The sequence below is a fragment of the Homo sapiens genome, chromosome 6 (genome assembly GCF_000001405.40).
Source record: "Homo sapiens chromosome 6, GRCh38.p14 Primary Assembly".
Lineage (NCBI taxonomy): Eukaryota > Metazoa > Chordata > Mammalia > Primates > Hominidae > Homo > Homo sapiens.
In genome coordinates, this window is record NC_000006.12 from 8,966,106 (window position 1) to 8,984,208 (window position 18,103).

Below are 18,103 nucleotides of genomic sequence, written 5' to 3' on the forward strand. Positions count from 1 at the left end.
TTCTCTTAGGTTTTCTTTTAGTTAAAAATGTCTTATTTTGTTTTCATTCTTGAATATTTTCACTGAATATAGAAATCTAATTAAACAGTTTTGGTATTTTCCCTCACAACTCAAAGATTTTATTCGTGTTCTTCCGGCCTCTGTGGTTTATTATAAGAGGTAAGCCTTTAATTGGATAGCTGTTTCCCTATAGGTAATGTGCTGTCTTTCTCTTGTTGATTTCAATATTTGGTGTTTATCTTTGGCCTTCAACAGCTTTACTCAGTGTGTGCCCGTGTAGGTTTCTTTGATGTTTATTTTGCTTATTCTTTGTTTAGAATATTGTACCTGAAAACTTCAGATATTTTCAACGACTGTTTCTTTGAGTATATCTTTTTCTTCTTCATTAAATATCTTCTGTCTTCTAATGTAACCGTCATACGTATGTTTGACTATATGAATATTATCTGACACATCTGTGAGGTGATATTTATCTTGGTTTGTTTTCCTCTCTGTTTTTGACCTTGAATCATTTTAATTTTTCTGTCTTTAAGTTCACACACTGTTTCTTTTGTCATATCTTTGACAAAGTTAATTCGGTAGATTTTTTATTTCAAAAAATGTTCTTTTTTATTATGAGAATTTCCATTTAGTTTTTCTTCTTATTTCTGTTTCTGTGACGTGGTATTTTGTTTTATTTTTTCTCCTTGGATAGTTATTAATAGCTCATTTAAACTTGTTGCAACATGTGACTCATCTTGGGTTGGACTCAATTTCTTATTTCTTGAGGATATGTTCTGTTTTCTTAGTACTTCTCATATTGGATAACTTTGGATTATGTCCCTTATATTATGAATACTGTGTTCAGAGGATACTGGATTCCATTATTATTATGTGATAAGCATTTTTCCTTTTGTTTTACAAAGTCATTTTTAATGCCTAGAATTCAACTGCTTTCAGAATCATTCATCTGGCTCTTTCTCTATGGAGATTTGTGTTGTCTTTTCAGTTTTCCTGGTTTCTTGGCTTCTCTTATCTTCTTCACCAGATCAGGAAGACTGGAGCATTTCCATGCATGCCCTTGTCTCTCCTGAGTGCTCTGTGGACTGCACCTAGCTACAAGGTAAAATTGCAAATTGAGAAACTCAGTTTCTTATCTACCTTCCTCCAAGTAGCTTCCACTCCACCACATTCTACCTGCTTATGGCCGGGTGTGGTGGCTCACACCTGTAATCCTAGCATTCTGGGAGGCCGAGGCAGGCAGATCACCTGAGGTCAGGAGTTCAAGACCAGATTGGCCAATATGGCGAAGCCCTGTCTGTACTAAAAATACAAAAAATTAGCTGGGCGTGGTGGGGTCCACCTGTAATCCCAGCTACTCGGGAGGCTGAGGTAGGAGAACCGCTTGAACCTGCGAGGCAGAGGTTGCAGCAAGTCAAGATTGTGCCACTGCACTGCAGCCTGGGAGACAGAGTGAGACTCCATCTCAAAAAATAAAATAAAATAATTCAGTACCTTCAGAATTGTAACAAAAAAAATTGTTTTCTTGTTTGAACCGCTAAGATTCTGTTCTACACATGTGTAGTTCAGATATATATGAGTCAGTGAAGTGGGGAGGCAGAATTTGGGGATTTGTTTCCAGTACTTTCCCTTCTGGGATTTCCCATTCTTTTCAGTATTTATAGCTTCCAGGCTTATTTTTTCTAGTTTTCCAGCTAGATATATTTTGGAGTTTTCCAGGTACATTCCCTGAGCTGTCACTTGCCCAAAAGACCGAACCTAGCCCCTCAAACATGGGAATTATTTGTACAACTCCTGTCTCCCCTTATAGCATAGATTGTCTGTAAGAATATATTTGCTTCTGTTCAGTATTTTGTACCTTTACGTAGTTTTTTTTTTTTTTTGGTCCAGGTTTCATAGTTATTGTCTGCAGAGAGGTTCCCCCAGTAGAGTCTAAGTCCAGTATACTGAGATGTGAAAAAAGTCTCGTGATTTTTACATGAAATTTGCTTACTATTCATTCACTCTGAATTTTTTCTTCTATTATGTCTTTGATAATTTCCTTTTCTCCATTTTGTAATCCCCTATTTCTGAACTTATTAGAGATTCGTTTTTCTTCACTTAATATTCTATGGCTTCTCTTTTCACTCAAAAAACTTTCTGAAGTTTATTTTTCCAAATTTTCTTGTCTAATTTTAGTCAGTTTTTCTATTTTTGTTAATCATTGTATTTATTGCTACAGGATATCTATGTTTTAAATTGAAGCAGCAAAAGAACTGAGTGGGATATTTGTAAGCCTGGGCCAGTGGGTGACTTTTATTTAGAGAGCAGATGGGGACCCAGTGGCAAATATGTCTAATGCACAACAACTACTACAGTTCTGTTTAGTTTGTTCAACAGCTTCAGAAAAGAGCTTTCTAATTTTCTGTATGAGAGTGAGCTTTATTTGAATTCTGTTCATTAGGGTAGGTGGGTAAGGATTGTCATAGGAGAGGAAGGGTGAATTCTTCTTAAACAGACCTTTCGTTATCTTATTTCCAACCTTATTTCTCACTCTGCTTTTTTGTTTTTTTCTATTGATTCAAGGGTGGAGCTTCCCCAGGATTCTTTGCGTGTTATCTCCTTTTTTCACACAGCCCTCCCTATTTATGGTTTCTTCTATTTCATTCATCTTTTATTTATCTCCCTTCAGAGACTGCAGTGCTCTAGCTGGGCAAGTCTGGTGTGGGGAGGGCAACTTTCTTCAGGGAGGCCTTACAATTAAAATCTTTTAATTGCCTGTGGTGAGGCCTCAAAAATGACACGTAGGTTTTTAAGCAGAAACTGTACTCCTCAATATCCATTTTCTATAATCACGCAATATACTGCACTGTTATTACTCTAAAGTTATATTTTATATAGATCAAGAATAAGAATAAAATACTTTATTTTAGCTTCACTTATTCTTTCTCTGATACTCTTACTTTATTTGCATTTATTTTAGCTTCAACTATTCCTTCTCTGATACTCTTCCTTTATTTGCATAGCTATGACCTTCTGACTTGTAGAGTTTTCATTCTTCTTGAAGAATTTCTTACAGGGAAGTTCTGCTGATAATAAATTCCACTAGGTGTTGTTCATCTGAGAAAATCTTTATTTCTTAATTATTTTAAATGATAATTTTACTGGCTATAGAATTTTAGGCTATTGAATATTTTTCTCTGAATACCTTAAATGTGTTACCTCCCTCCTTTCTTCTTTGCATGATTTCTGAGAAGTCTGCTTTACTTTTTTTCCTCATTCATCTTGTCTTAGCCAATTAGGGCTGCTATAACAGAATACCATATACCATGTTGCTTATAAACAACAAAAAATTATTTTTCACAGTTTTGGAGCCGGGGAGTCAAAGATCAGGGTGCCAACATGGTAGGGTTCTGGTGGGGGTTTTCTTCTGGGTTACAAACTGGCAACTTCTTACTTTGTTCTCACATGGTGGGAGGGGCTAGCTAGCTTTCTGAGGCCTTTACTGACTAACCACCTGCCAAAGGCCCCTCCCCCTGGTATCATCAACTTGTTTTTAAGATTTCAATATATGAATTTGGGAGGAACATAAACATTCAGACCATAAGACCTCTATAGATAATGTAGTCTTTTCCCTGGCTTCTTTCAAGCTATTCTATTTGTTTTTGATTTTCTACAATTTGAATATGATATGCTTAAGTATAGATTATTCTGCTGGTTGTACTCTGATTTTTCTAGATTTGTGGTTTGGTGTCTGTGAGAAATTCAGTAATTTTGGAAAATTCTTGACCATTATTACTTCAAATATTTCTTCTGCCTCTCCTGTCTTTTCTCTCCTTATGGTATTCCAATTATACATATGTTGCATCTTTTGAAATTGTCCTACAATTTTTGTATGTAAACTTCTGGGGTTTTAATTTTTTTTCTCTTTGCATTTCAGTTTGTGAAATTTCTATTGACCTATCTTCAAGCTCACTGGTTCTTTCCTTAGCTGTGCAAAGTTTACTGCTGAGCTCATCAATGACATTTTTTATTTCTTTTTGTAGTGTTTTTAATTTCTAGAATTTCCTTTTGATTCTCAGTGTGTCTATATTTCAACTATATTGTGCATATGTTTATGCATGTTGTTCGTTTTTCCCAATAGAGCCTTTAATATATTAATCATAGTTATTTTAAATTCCTTGTATGATAATTTCAAAATATGTTTCAAATGTAAGTCTGGTTCTGATGCTTGGTTTGTCTCTTCAGTATGTGCTTTTTAAAGTTCCTTTAGCATGCTTTGTAATCAATCTTTTTTTGAAGCAAAAATGGGGTGTCAGGTGATAGAAATGAGGCTTTAGTGTGATTGTTGTATGTTTATCTGGCTACGAATTGGGTTTTTTAATGTTTCCTGTAGCTGTAGATGGTGGAGACATCAGATGCCTCTAGTTTCCTTGTTGTTACACTTGTTATCTTTGGCTTTCCTGAGTACTCCTACTTAAATAAAGTCTATATATTGAAGCTATTTCCACCACAATGCACTGCTGTTATATTGTGTGGGGAATGGGAAGCATTCTATAATCTCATAATCAAATCTCAGTCTTTTAGTGAATCCATATCCCTGAGCAATAATCTTAACTAACACTTTTTAGCTCCCATCTCCCTTACACAAGACAGAAAGAATAGAGGGGACTAGAGTTACAGAAGTGTATTTCCTCCAGTGGAATATGGTTTGGGTAAAGATTTTTCTCCTTGGAGAGACAGTTTTTGTTATGGAGAATGCTCTGGACATATTTCACATAGTTACTCTTTTTTTTTCCCCTGCGAGGGTCAGTAAGAAAAATTTTATTGGCTGTTTTCTGCAGAATTTTTGGTGAGTTTCTAGAGGTGTAAACCATGAAATAGCATAGGCCCCTGCTAAGATTTCAGGCCCCTAGAATTTCTGACTCTCAACCTAATCCACACTTGGTCTGTAGCAATGGATAAAAATTACCACTTAATGGTTTTCACCAGTTTTTGAATCCAGCAATTTTTTTTCAGGTAGGCATATCTCGGCTGATGTATTTACTTCATTTGTCTCTCTTAATTTTGGAGTGGCAGTTTTTCTAATTACCTTTATTCTCTGATGAACCTAAGAAAAGTTGCTGATTTTCAGTTTTTACAGCTTTTTTTTGTTGTTGTAAGGACAAGGGTGATGACTTCCAAGTATTTCACACTTCAGAGCGTTTTAGCTGAAATCATAGTCATTCTTTTTTCTCCTCTAATTCTGAAACTCCAGTGATTTGCTAGATAGGCTATTTGCTATTGTTCCACAGAACATGGGAACAATATGCTTTCATTTCACTTTTATGTTTACGTTTTTATTTTGTTTTCTACTTTGTATTTTTATTTCACTTTTTTCTCCTTTTATATTAGTTTGTATATTTTCTATTGTCCTACTTTTAAGTTCACTGATTCTTTCCCTCTGTCTACCCTATTCATAGGCCTCTAAAAAATTCTTTATCTTTAATATTTTATTTTTCATTTCTCACATTTCTATTTGACTTTTTTATTTTATATAGTTTTCATCTCTTGGTGAACTTTCCTATCTTGTCATAAACATTGCTCCTATATAAGTTTAGTGTGAAAGTTATCTGAAATTAAACACATAGCCAAACAGGATTATTAACTTTTGTTAGAAGCACATATACTAGTAATTTATTTCTTTATAAAAATAATATAACCAAGACTTAGTCTATCAATGGTTAATTTACCAGTAAGATTTTGTTTGAATCTAAATAATAATTATAAAGAAAATCAACATTACGCTTTACTGGTAAAACTGGATAGAAGCCATTTTATGAAGGCTTTGGATAGGCAAAAATTATTTATGTATTTGTGCTAACATTTTCCAGGGAAAACTTGGTCATTTCCACTCAGTAGAGACAGATTTTTATAGGAAAAGAAATTGTAAAAATATTCTGCCTTTGGGGCAATTGTAAAAATGTTTTAATGTGCCTCAGCTGGAAATTTCTGTGTTTTGCCAAATTAAATGATCATTTTCTCCCTGCAAAAAGTGTCTTTCATGTTGGAAAGGATTTGAGAATAGAGTGTATTTGAAAACTATGTAAACCATTTTTGAATTTTCACTGTTTGGCATGAAAATGCTGATTTTTCATCTTAGCTTTAGCTATCAATGTGAGGATTCCTTTCAATAAAAAAAGGTGAAAAAAATTACCCACCTTAAGTTGCAGGAATAACAATATACTTTAATTTGCAGTAGAAAATGGGTGGTTGATTATACCTCTTCCCTGAAAAATTTTGAAGAACTTTAAAGAAAGTTTTACTTTTGTTCTTCCTCCAGTGGAATAAAAACAAAACAAAACAGTGTTTCTGTAATACTGTTTGTTGAAGATTTAATAATTAGACTTCAATTATGATTTATTTTCTATTTAACCAAATAAAAGCAGACTCACTAAGTGTCAAGTGGGTTTACAGTTGGTTGAATTTCTTTTTAGATTTTTTCTGATTTATTCTAAACTTAATAACCTAATACCTTAATATCACAAAACTATATTTTTTCTGATACTGTTATAATCTGATAATAGATTTTTAAAGTTGTCAAATATTATATCCTGCTCTCATTTAAATACTTTTCAGTGACATATACACTGTAATTGAAGGTGGTCATTTCTTCTCAGTAGAGACAGATTTTTACAGTTAAAAAAAGAGAAAGAAATACTGACTTCAATAAAGGGAATCACTGCATTACTTGAGTCTTAATAGTGTCTCTAAAGATGGAGGGCAAAGGCAGAAATTTCATAAAGTTGGGGGATCTGGTGTAAGTGGACTTTTCAGCATGTAAGTTGGATTGTGATTAGGTAAGGCTGATGCGCTAACAATGGAGGGTGGTGGACACAGAGATGTAAGGATTCTGAAGTGAATAATTCAAAAGTCGGTATTGGAAAGTAAGCAGCAAGCTTTTTAAAAGAAGTTTCTCTTATCCATACCAAAGAAGGGTATGCAAAAAACTAAGAGCTTTATTACAAATTAAATCAGGATAGCTCATAAATTTCACAATCAATAATTTTTTAAACAAAGGAATCTATTGCCCACCACGAAGGGATTTTTAAAAATCTAGCAGTAAGGTAAAAATGTAATTTACATTTTCACTCTTTTTTACATTTCAAATATATCTTTATTTATCATGCAGTTAATATCACACTAATCAAAATTTGTGGTTTTTATCAAAATATTTACAAAGGTAATGAGATACTTATTCATGGCTCTTAATGAAAGAGACAAAATACCTTTTTGTTCATGTATGACTTTACCTTGTATTTTGATTTAACAGCAGCAAATCCATTATTCTGAAAACCTAACTAGTTAAATTGTTTTTATGTCATTTACTGACTTTATGCTTCTGGATAAAGAAGGAAAAAAGAGAACTCAAAACTGGTAAAAATAATATAGCTTCTTAGCCTTCAGGGGGAAATTCTTTATTAAGATACACTTTAAATGCACTTCTGATAAGCTTCTTTCACAAACAGGAAGTCCATATAGAAAATAGGCATGCTCATTTGCAGCTTTAATCATAACACTTGTATTAATAGCATAAAAGGAAACCTCCAACACTTACTTTTAAAGGTTTTATTTTAGGCTTCTTATATTAATAAGGAATGGGGACACTGATAGCTCAAATTTTTCATGTTTAAAGGCTCATTTGCAAAAAAACAAAGTAAATGGGAGAAAAATAATTTATGCAAGCACTGCTAATCCAGCTGTTTTGCTTCTGGGCTTAATTGGATTTACCTAGCATTGATATTTGGTGTCAGCATGTGTTATATCATCAACACAAGCAATAGTTACCCAACATAAATGAGGCAATGAAGAGAAGTGAACGCCAAGATTACAAACCTCAAACCAAAGACAAAATATTATTTTATTTGACTCAATCTTAGCATAATTACTTTTTAGCCATGTGTGTTATAGACTTCCTGTATCAGCTTGATGCTGCTATCTTCTACATTTCTGTCCTTTATATCTATCTGCTAAATATAGGCAGTGAAGAAAACTAGTGTTCGATAAAATGACTTTAATAATGGTTACACATATCTTCTGCCTGGCCAAGTACTCCTATTAACTGTAAAAATGCATGCATTGTCTCTAAAGGTAGGAATGTGACACCTGAATTTCAAAGGCAGGTATACGTCATCGGTAACCAGGTCTTTGCTATTTACATGTAGAAAAATGAACTTAACCTTTAAAATTAAGCAATAAACAGCATGTTTAAGAAATAATTTGCAAATATATTTACTTACATATGTATATCTATTATTCCGTTCATCTGTGAGAATATTAAATGTCTTCAAGTGAATATCAGGAATATTTTATTTAGAAAATACATGTAAGAAAGATTACTATTACTTAAAGAAAAATATTTTAATAGAAATGTTTATGAATATATATGTATTTACTGTATGTATTCATCTCATATATGTATGTGTCAACCTGAAATATATTTTGTATATAAATACATATTCATATTACACATCTAAATGCATTCTACATATTTTGCCACATACCTCATACTCTTTCATCATTCCTTGCCCTATCTACCTTGTTTGAACACATAACCCATCCTTTATGTTAATACTCCTCATCTTCCTTTCCTATCCTAGTTTTCCTTTTTTTATTGCAGTTATCATCTCATGTGCTAAATAATGCATTGGTTTATTATATCTGTTGTTTACTGAGTACTGTCTATTTTGCTCTACTCTAAGATAAACTTCATGAGAGAGAGGATCTTCCTTTGATTCACGAAAATACCCCAGTTTTCTATAATAAAGCATGACATGAGTATTATAGGTGCTCAGTGACTGAATGAATGACTGGATATGTTACAAACATTATGTGTGTGTACATGTTTATATACGTCTGTGTATGTGAGGATATACACACACTCAGATATGTGTGTATTTAGACTTCTAAATCATAATTTTCCTATGACTTTTTCCTAATTTTCCTTCTTCTGGTGTTTAAGCCATCCTTCTCTTCTGTGTCATTTATGGAATACATAAGCTTAGAAGTTTAATTCAAAAGGTCCAGCATAGTTTCCTAATATTCTGACTTCAGAGTTACTTCAGAGTTCTAAGATATATAGTTTATCAAGCAAAATGATTAAAAAATAGTCTTTTTTATTTTCTCAGCTTTTGGATTGCTATCATAGTGCTCTGAGCTTGGTTGACCAGTATTTCTTCCAAGTCAAATCAAAGGGAAATTACTCTTGAGCTAAATGAAACAATCTGGATTGTATCCAATAGCATCTCCCAGTGAAATGGTCACTCTAGCTCAGCAGGATCCTCTGAGCCAATATAATTCAGATGAGTTTGAGTGAAATGCAAACATTATCATTCTGTATCAAATTAGGAAGGTATTATACACTATCATGTAAGTTGGCAAATCTAAGGTCCAAAAGACTCAGCTTCAAATATTTTTATCAACACTGGCCATGAAGTTGGGCTGCCAAAATTCAGTGAGCCGTGCAGGTGAATTTAACAGTATTGTGAATTGTATTATAAAAAATTAAATCTTTGTTCATTCAGGTCTCTGCCCAAAATGTCCCTCCTCAGTGATATATAACTAGTATCCTCTTCATGCACTTTTATATTGCCTGTTATAATTTATATTCATTTTGCCTATTTGATTTCTATCTGTTCTATTCACTAGAATATAAGCTCTGTGAAGGCAAGAACTTTGCATGCTTTGTTCATTCCTGACTGTCCAGTGTTCAGAAAAATATTCCTGATAAAGTGTAGGTGCTCATGTCATAGTTATTAAATCAATGAATGAATAAAAATAAGTAGCATGAGGAAGAAGATGTGCCTTCTAAAGAGCATTTTATTGGCCCCCAAGACTCTTCTGCATATGCACTCCAAAGGATACATAAAGAGCCCTGGCACTGAGCTTTTAAAATAATAATTCCCTTTTCTGAAAAGCATTTATAATATTTCCTAGAAACCACTCTGAAACGAGAAAGAATTCACATTTATCGCAAGTCAAGTGTGAGATAATTCAACACCTATGATTTCATAACTACATGCTTAGTCCTTAGAAATGGCCTGATTTTTGAGATATTTTGCTTTGGAGACACAAGGTTGAGTTTTAATATGAAAACCAAAAAAATAAAAAAAATAAATATGTTCCTGAGAAAATAAATGAGTGGAGAAGATTGCAAAAGATGCAGACCTTTGGTTGTGGGGCGAGAAAAGATCAAGGTTTCTATTTTAGACAAGTTAAGGTTAAGATGTCCCTTAGGGGTTCAAAAAGATATGTTGAGAATATATGGATATTTAAGCCTGGAGTTAGGAAGTTATCACCATATAGTTATTTAAAGCCATAAAAAGGAAGTGAATGTAGATAGAAAGAAGAGGTCTAAACATTGACCTCTGAGATACTCCTACATTAGGCAATTGGGGTAATTGCATTTACCAAGTAAGAATAGTTATAGGATTTACCAATAGGAATACTAAGAAGCAGTAGTAAGAGAAGTAGAAGGAAAAACAGGCAGCTGTGGTGTTCTGACCATCAAATATAGACGAATATTTGAAATGTTGGGATTGAAATGCTGGAATCTATATTGTTTTTAATGAGTTTTGAAAATATTCTATAAGTCAGTTTTAGATCTATTTATTTTTCATCATAAAAATGGCAAGCACATGACGGAAGTATTTGAAAGGACAAGAGAAATTAATTCATACTCAAACTCAGTAAAACAAGAGCAGAGATTTTCTGGACTACCTAAAAGCTACTAATTATTTAAGTCCTTTTGGTCATTTTCTTTTCATGCATGTTCTTAAATACTGAACTAATATTATGTGTAAAATTTTTATCAAGCTTATTCATTATGTTAAATCATAAGCATTTTAAACATTATTTCCTATTTACTACTGTTTAAAAAAATAAAGCAATAATAATCCACAAGGGGTTGAACTATATTTCTTAACTTCTTATTGGTTAGAATTTATCTTTCAAACAAAAAATATTTTTGATAACCAGTTGTGCCAGGTACAACAGAAGGAAAATAGTCCAGAGAAAAACATGTACAAGTAAACAATTTGTTCAAATACCAGATTTAGAACTTGTTGGTCTTTATTATATATCAGATATTGTTCTGAGAGATTTTCATTTATTATCATATTTAATCATTACCAAACCTTATGAGATGGATGTTATTAAGAGGATAAGTATGTGCACAAGTATGAAAGAGCTTTAGGTTATTAAAACAGTTACACAGTTCTGGAAACTTAAGAGGGGCTGGTTCTTGACAAGGGGGTTGCTGTCAACAGACTCCCTGGAGAGGGTAGCCAGGGTTGCCTGAACAAAAAGATGAGGCCAGTTAATACAGTGCCCATGTGTTATCTCAAAGAGATCCTGAAGATAATGGAAGGCCTTCTAGAGCCTTTAGAAACTGCAATGGCATGATAGATTTATGATTTAGAAAAGCTACTCCATAAATGAGGCTAAAGCCACACAGGCTGGGAAGAAGGTGATAGTCATGAAGCATGAAGCAGGCCTGAGAGAAATATTATTTTTCTTTGCTTAGGAATATTTCTCAGAAGCAAAATATTGGGTTAAAAACTAAATATTGGAATGGAGCATGATAAATAAAAGATTTGGTAAGCCCTGAGTGCATATAAATGGCTTTATTTTGATAGTTTTTAGTTTATTTTTTCCATTATTGGTATCACCTGGCCAAGCTAAGAGTAATTGCCATTCTTTTCTCTTTATGTTTGATTTTAACAGTTTGAGTCCAGGTGTGTGGGTGTTTGTTAAATTCCCATTCTAAATAATTTCCTAAATTTTGACTCAAATTATTATTGCTATTTTCATTACTATTGTTATTATTATTACTATCATTATTATTTGTGAGGTCCTAGCTTTTCGTCATCTCATACATGGGTGCACTTCCATATGAATTAAGCAATAATGCATATTTTCTTTTAGAAAATGTATCATTTTCATTGCCAGTTTTCCACAATATAGCCTTAAAGTACTCATTGATCCCTTCATGTGTATCATTCTTACTCTTCTCTATTTCTTTGTGAGGTTTAAGTTTCCCCTTTGTTGTCATTCTCCTTCTGCTTGAAGAACTTTCCTTTAGTATTACTTGGCACGACAAATCGGCTGAGAATGAATTCCCTCAGCTTTTCTTTCCTTCCTTCCTTCCTTCCTTCCTTCCTTCCTTCCTTCTCTTTCTTTCTTTCTTTCTCTTTCCTTCTTTCCTTCCTTCCTTCCTTCCTTCCTTCCTTCCTTCCTTCCTTCCTTCCTTCCTTCCTTCCTTCCTTCCTTCTTTTTTGTCTGAGAAAGTATTCGGCTCAAGTTTTGGAAGATATTGTCACTGGTTGTGAAATTTCATTGACAAGTTCTTCTTTTTCTCTCTTAGTCTGTTAAAATGATCACTCCGATATGTTCTGGGTTTGTGTAGTTGCTGAGGAAATGTCTGCTATAATCCTTATCTTCATTCCCCTGTATAGAATGCTTCTTTTTTCTCTGCCTTCAAGATTTTCTCTTTATCTTTGGTTTTCATAGTTTAACTATGATGTGTGTAGGTGTGTCTTTGTTTTGTTTTTATTCCACTTGAGGCTTTCCAAGGGTTTTAGAGGTATGATTTAATGTTTTGATTCTTTTTGTAAAATTCTCAACTACTACTTCCTCATTTTTTTTTCTGATACATTCTCTCTCTCTTTCCTTCTTGTGGGACTCCAATTTCATGTAAATTATACCGTTCGATATTGTGCTGTTGCTCTTTGATTTTGGTGGTTTTTTTAAAAAAAAACACTTATTTTAACTCTGTATTTCAATTTCAATTTGAATTTCAATTCAAAAAATTAAATAATTTTTATTTACCTAATTTCAGACTCACTGAATCTTTCCTCATCTGTGTACATTCTATTTATGAACCTCCTAAGGATTTACTTTTTTATGTATGATTTTTTAAAATGGTTTGTTTTGGGTTTTGTTGTTGTGGTTTTTTTTTTTTTTAACTTACAGCATTTCCATTGTACTCTTTCTGTATACCTGTGCTAAATTTTCCCATTTGCCCATTCATATTGTCCATCTTTTCCACCAGGTGTCAAAATATTTAATCAATTATCTTAAAGCCTCTGTCAGTTAATTCCAATATATGAGTCATCTATCCTTATGTTGCTCACTTTTTTCTTGATTTTTTTTCTGTGTATATCTCATAATTGTTTATTGAATATCAGATATCATGCATAGAAGAATAGTAGAAATGCAGGAAGATAATATTTATACCTAGCAATGATTGTACCTCCTCTTTTGTTCTTCAGTTAGAATGTAGGGTTTGGCCAATCTAATCAGGAGTTTATGTGGTTTGGAGTTTTTGTTGCTATGATTATCTTCAATGAACTATAGACTTCAAGCTCCTCAAGCTACTCAGGATAGAGTCAGGATAGAGTCTCCTAGGTTTTTCTGAGAGTCCGTTTGTTTTTTCCCCATTCATTGTTAGTCAACACTAAATACTTGCACCACAGAGTATAGTCTCCCTCCAGGTTCTTGCCACTTTCCCAGTGATAGAATACCATACCAGGGACTTGGTGCTTGGCTAGTGGTAGAATTGGGAAAGTTCTTTGTTGTTCTGGTACAACCTCAATGTTAGGCAGGACCAATGTGTCTGGGCATCAGGAGTGATACATTTTTACTGTTTCCATACTTCCTCTTCATGGCATTTTGTGTATGTGGGGTGGGAGAGATAATTCTCCATCAGTCTCTTTCCTTCTGTACATCTGACCAGCAGACACACTGACAGCCTTTTTCTTCATTGGACTTTCTTTTCAAGAATATTTGTATAGTGAATATCTTTATAAGATAAAGATAGTGCCTTCCTCTGATGCCTGTCCTCTGCAGATTTGTTTGCTGTCTAATACAGCAACAATACTGTTTGCAGTATAATACAGACATATTTTTCTTCTGGGGCAAAAGTCAGGTAGATTTGTTTGTTGTCAATTATGAAAGATTGGAGCATCCTACATTAGGGCTCTTGTTCTGTAATGCAACTGACTGCATATGAAAGCATCATCTGACCCTCATCATCATGTCACCTTATGGGTAGTGGGGCTCAGGGTACTGGGGAAAGAAAACCATGACACTCTGACTACCACTATTGCAGTGAGTATTAAACTGCGTTCTGTCTCTGACCCAGCAGCCTCATGTCATTCTGCCAGCACTTAGAGAATTGTGTGAAACTAATGAGTTTTTAGCTTGTTAAGGTAGGGTAAAATCTCACACCCTTCATACTTCTTGAAAATCTTAGGTAGAAGTTCCCTGCCCCTCCATTAGTGGAATCAAGCCTCCACTTGAAATCTGTGTAGGATCCTGGGTCTCAGACTGTTTTGTATTTCTCCTCCCCAGGAATACAGGGTTCAACCTTTTCCCTAGTAGCAATGGAGTGTTGCCTGTGCCATAAGAGTTATCTTCTATCCAGAATCTAATTGAGTTTTCTTCTTCTCCTTTCTCATAGACTTAAACCATTTGCTTTATTTTTGTTTTAAAGTCTTCTACAAAGTGGACAGAGCCTTAACCCTCACAGATGCTAACAACTGCTTTATCAGTGCTCCTGAGAGGGAATTATTCTGGTCGCCCGCTCAGCCCTTAGTCTTTCTCCTAAGCAAATGGTAGAGACCCACGGATAAAGTCTTGCAACTTTCCTTGTGTCTAGGGCCCTTAGCAATCCCAAATGAACACATTAACCAATTCTCCTCAGCCTTTAAGTGTTCATTAAATTTTTTGCTTTTTCATTTTGTACCAATTTCTATGGTGGTCATCCTTTTTATATTCTCACTAAGCAATTTCTGACACAGTTCTTGTGTCCTGCCTCTCTTTGGATGTGATGATTCACCTTTAGAATTTGATTTACTTGTTTGCCTTTATGAACTAGACTTTTAATGAGTTTAAGACAAGTTATAGTCTTGTAGATAATGCCCATGGTCTGAATGGTTGTCTCCCCAAAATTCATATGTTGAAACCTAATCTCTAATGTGATAGTATTATAAGGCAGGTGATTGGGTCTTGAGGGTTCTGTCGTCATTAATGGGATTAATGCCCTTATAAAAAAAGACCTCAGAGAGCTAACTTGCCCCTTGTCATTTGGATAAAACTTCTAAGGTTCCTTAATTCCACTCTCTCATTTTAAAGATAAAGGAGCTATGCCTGTGGAAGGAAAAAATCAAATGGTCAAGTAAAAAAATCAAATGGCTGAAAGGCACTGTTGCCAGGAGAGTTACTTTCAATGTAACAGTACCTCTAAGGGGTTCAATTTTAGTTTGATCCAGCCTCTCTAGCCAGCTGTGTCTTTTCCACTGTATGAGGACACAGCAATAAATCACTATTCGCTAACCCAAAACTGGGCCCTTACCAGAACCTTACCTTGCTGGCACCTTGATCTTGGACTTCCAGCCCTCCCTGCTGTGAAAAATAAATACCTGTTGTTTATAAGCCACCCAGTTTTGTGTATTTTGTTATAGCAGCCTGAACAGACTAAGACAATAATCTAGCCTTTTCTCCCTGTTAGGTATAGAGCCACATTCTTTGCATGTTTCTAGTCACCTAGAGGATGAGTCTAGAGAAACGACATATTGTCTAATTCAATATTCAAATGGGATATTGTCCAGAGAAAAAAATATTGTTTAATTTGTTCACTTGACAAAGATTTCCCAAGTCTTACTCAAGACCAGGTTGTTATACTAAGCCATGTAGTGGGTACTGAAAGATGTACAAATCATGGTGGAAGAGTAATATTCATATCATTATCCAGGCTTCGGCTTGGAGGAATGCCAGCTTGGTTAGCCCATTGGCATGAATATTAACCCATTTGAGATCCAGCTACCTGGGCTCCAAGCTTTATCTTTAAGAACTCCCTACTAGTCTAGACCTTCCTTGTTCCTTCCTAGTTTATCAGATGAGTAACCACTCTCACATTACTGTTTTTCCTGTTGAAGGCACTGAAGGCTTCCTCTTTCTTCTCTTTTTCCTCACACACAGCTGGCTAGAGAGGCTGGATCAAACTAAAATTAAACCCCTTAGAGGTACCGGTACATTGAAAGTAACTCTCCTGGCAACAGTGCCTCTCAGCCATTTGATTTTTTTTCTTGACCGTTTGATTTTTTCTTTCCACAAGCGTAGCTCCTTTATCTTTAAAATGAGAGAGTGGAATTAAGGAACCTTCGAAGTTTTATCCAAATGACAATTTGTGACTCTTTCATTTTTCTTTTTTTGTCCTCATCAAGACAGATGAATTATATGATTGAGAGTTGGAAAGGAACATAGAAATAGATACACTAATCTTTTTGTCGTGAAAACGAGAAAATTCAGACTAAAGAAATTCAAATGATGTGCCCAAGGCTACACAGATGTAAAATGAAAACAAAAAATGAAGAACTAGATTTAAATCATCAGTGCTTGACCACAAGGAAGGCCTAGGAGAGGAGATAACTGCTTGGATTTGGATGAAACAAACTGTGTTCAAATCCTGGATCTATTGCTCAGTGATCTGTAAAACTTAAGCGCAGTGACAACTTCTCTAACATTCAATTTACCGTTTTGTGAAAAAGGAGTGACAGTGGCAAGATTTGTTTCCTAGGGCTGAGGTGGGCATTAAATGACACTGTTGTTGAAAGTACTCTCAATAAATAGACGAGCTTCTTTCGAACAGTACAATGCGCTTTATGATGTTGATGTATGGACTTTGATCAGTGGGAGAAATCGTCAAATCCGGGTTTCTTTGCCAAGTTTTGAATGGAAATACATTGCATTGTCTCACAGGCGTCTATGACACACAGGAAGGTCAGGAGTCCTTCGCAAATTTGGTTTATGCTATTATTCAGAATGGGTGAGTTTTAAAACTTTAATTAACCAAGTTAACCTATTTGTTTGCCAATGCGTGGAAGGTTGTATTGTTCTAACCACATTGCAACATTTTGGATAAAAGCGTAAATGTGGGTGTGGGAGGAAAAAAAAGAGAAACAGATTTGGATCAAAGCTACTGCGGAACAACTGCCACAGCACTCATTTTTTTCCCCCAAGGAATAGCTGTGGTAGAGAGCAGTGCCAGCTTGGAGTTTGCAACGTCTATTTTCTAGCCAACGCTATGATTTTTATTCCTGTTTATTGACCAAAAATTGCTTCATTTACTGAACCAACCACGTAGCGCAGCAGAGAGGCGGCTGTGGTTTCGCTGCCTGGGCCCTGAGCAATACCCACCTCTGTCCCATAGATGGCAGCATTTCACAAACAACGCCGCCACCGGGACGCATTGAGAACTCAGCTCCAGTAATCTGTTGACAGGATTAAGGACCCCTGTTGTTTTACAGGAAGTAAATAAATCCTTATGGTATTCTGGAAGGCTCAGAAGTATATGAGAGTGGTAGGAAATTGTTTATTCTATGGTAAAGGTATCAAATGAATATTTACAGCATTTAAAACAATTACCTCGGATTGATGTGGACTGGTGTTAAAACTCAGCCTGTTTGCATTATCTAGTTTAGAGTATTTGTTCAACTTTTGCCCAGTAGGTTTAGTTTTTCTGAGTACAGAATTTCTTGCTAGCATAAGTTGATGGTGAATGCTAAGGCTGATAAGATGGTGATAATTTCTCTTTAGAAATTAAAATGTTATCTATTTGTGCAAATCACTGTGTAAGAAAAACATAAACCACATGATACTGTAAACTCTAAGAACATGAAAAATAATGAAGAGAATAAAGGATGTAACAGTACAGGATGAATAGAAATATAGTAGGTGGGTTTAGGCAAAGGATTATCTTCAACTTTAAAATCCATTGAAATTGTCAATTTTAGACATGGAAAAGTTCTGTTATAAATCCAGACCATTGAATGGTTTCAGTATTCTTAAATACATTTCTGAGATATTTCAAAAACGACACAGGGCAATAATCTAAGTGAATCAGTGAGATTTACCCAGGGGTGGATTAAACAAGCCTACTCCTTAGATTTTCCACTGCCTTAGGGATGCACTATAATTTTCTATCCCTCATTTTTAGGCAACTTCCTTTACTCCATATGTTTCAAGAAGCTGATGATTTTTGAAAAGTACATTTGATTTGTGGTCATGACTCATTACCAAGTAA

The 18,103-nt window shown here is 34.6% G+C and overlaps 1 long non-coding RNA gene across 6 annotated transcripts in view, besides 2 other annotated features; it reads left to right on the forward strand.

Moving 5' to 3' along the window:
• LOC105374914 (uncharacterized) overlaps positions 1–18,103 on the forward strand; it is a 91,755-nt gene that overhangs the window by 6,198 nt on the left and 67,454 nt on the right. The gene's annotated exons all lie outside the window — the stretch shown is intronic.
• Positions 17,071–17,365: an enhancer, noted in NCBI's record as "tiled region #5599; HepG2 Activating non-DNase unmatched - State 12:CtcfO, and K562 Activating DNase matched - State 12:CtcfO". NCBI's record gives its function as "activates a minimal TATA promoter and a strong SV40 promoter by Sharpr-MPRA in HepG2 and K562 cells {active_cell/tissue: HepG2 | K562}" and the evidence as "EXISTENCE:reporter gene assay evidence [ECO:0000049][PMID:27701403]".
• Positions 17,271–17,320: a silencer, noted in NCBI's record as "silent region_16897". NCBI's record gives its function as "represses an Ori minimal core promoter by ATAC-STARR-seq in GM12878 lymphoblastoid cells {active_cell/tissue: GM12878}" and the evidence as "EXISTENCE:reporter gene assay evidence [ECO:0000049][PMID:35858748]".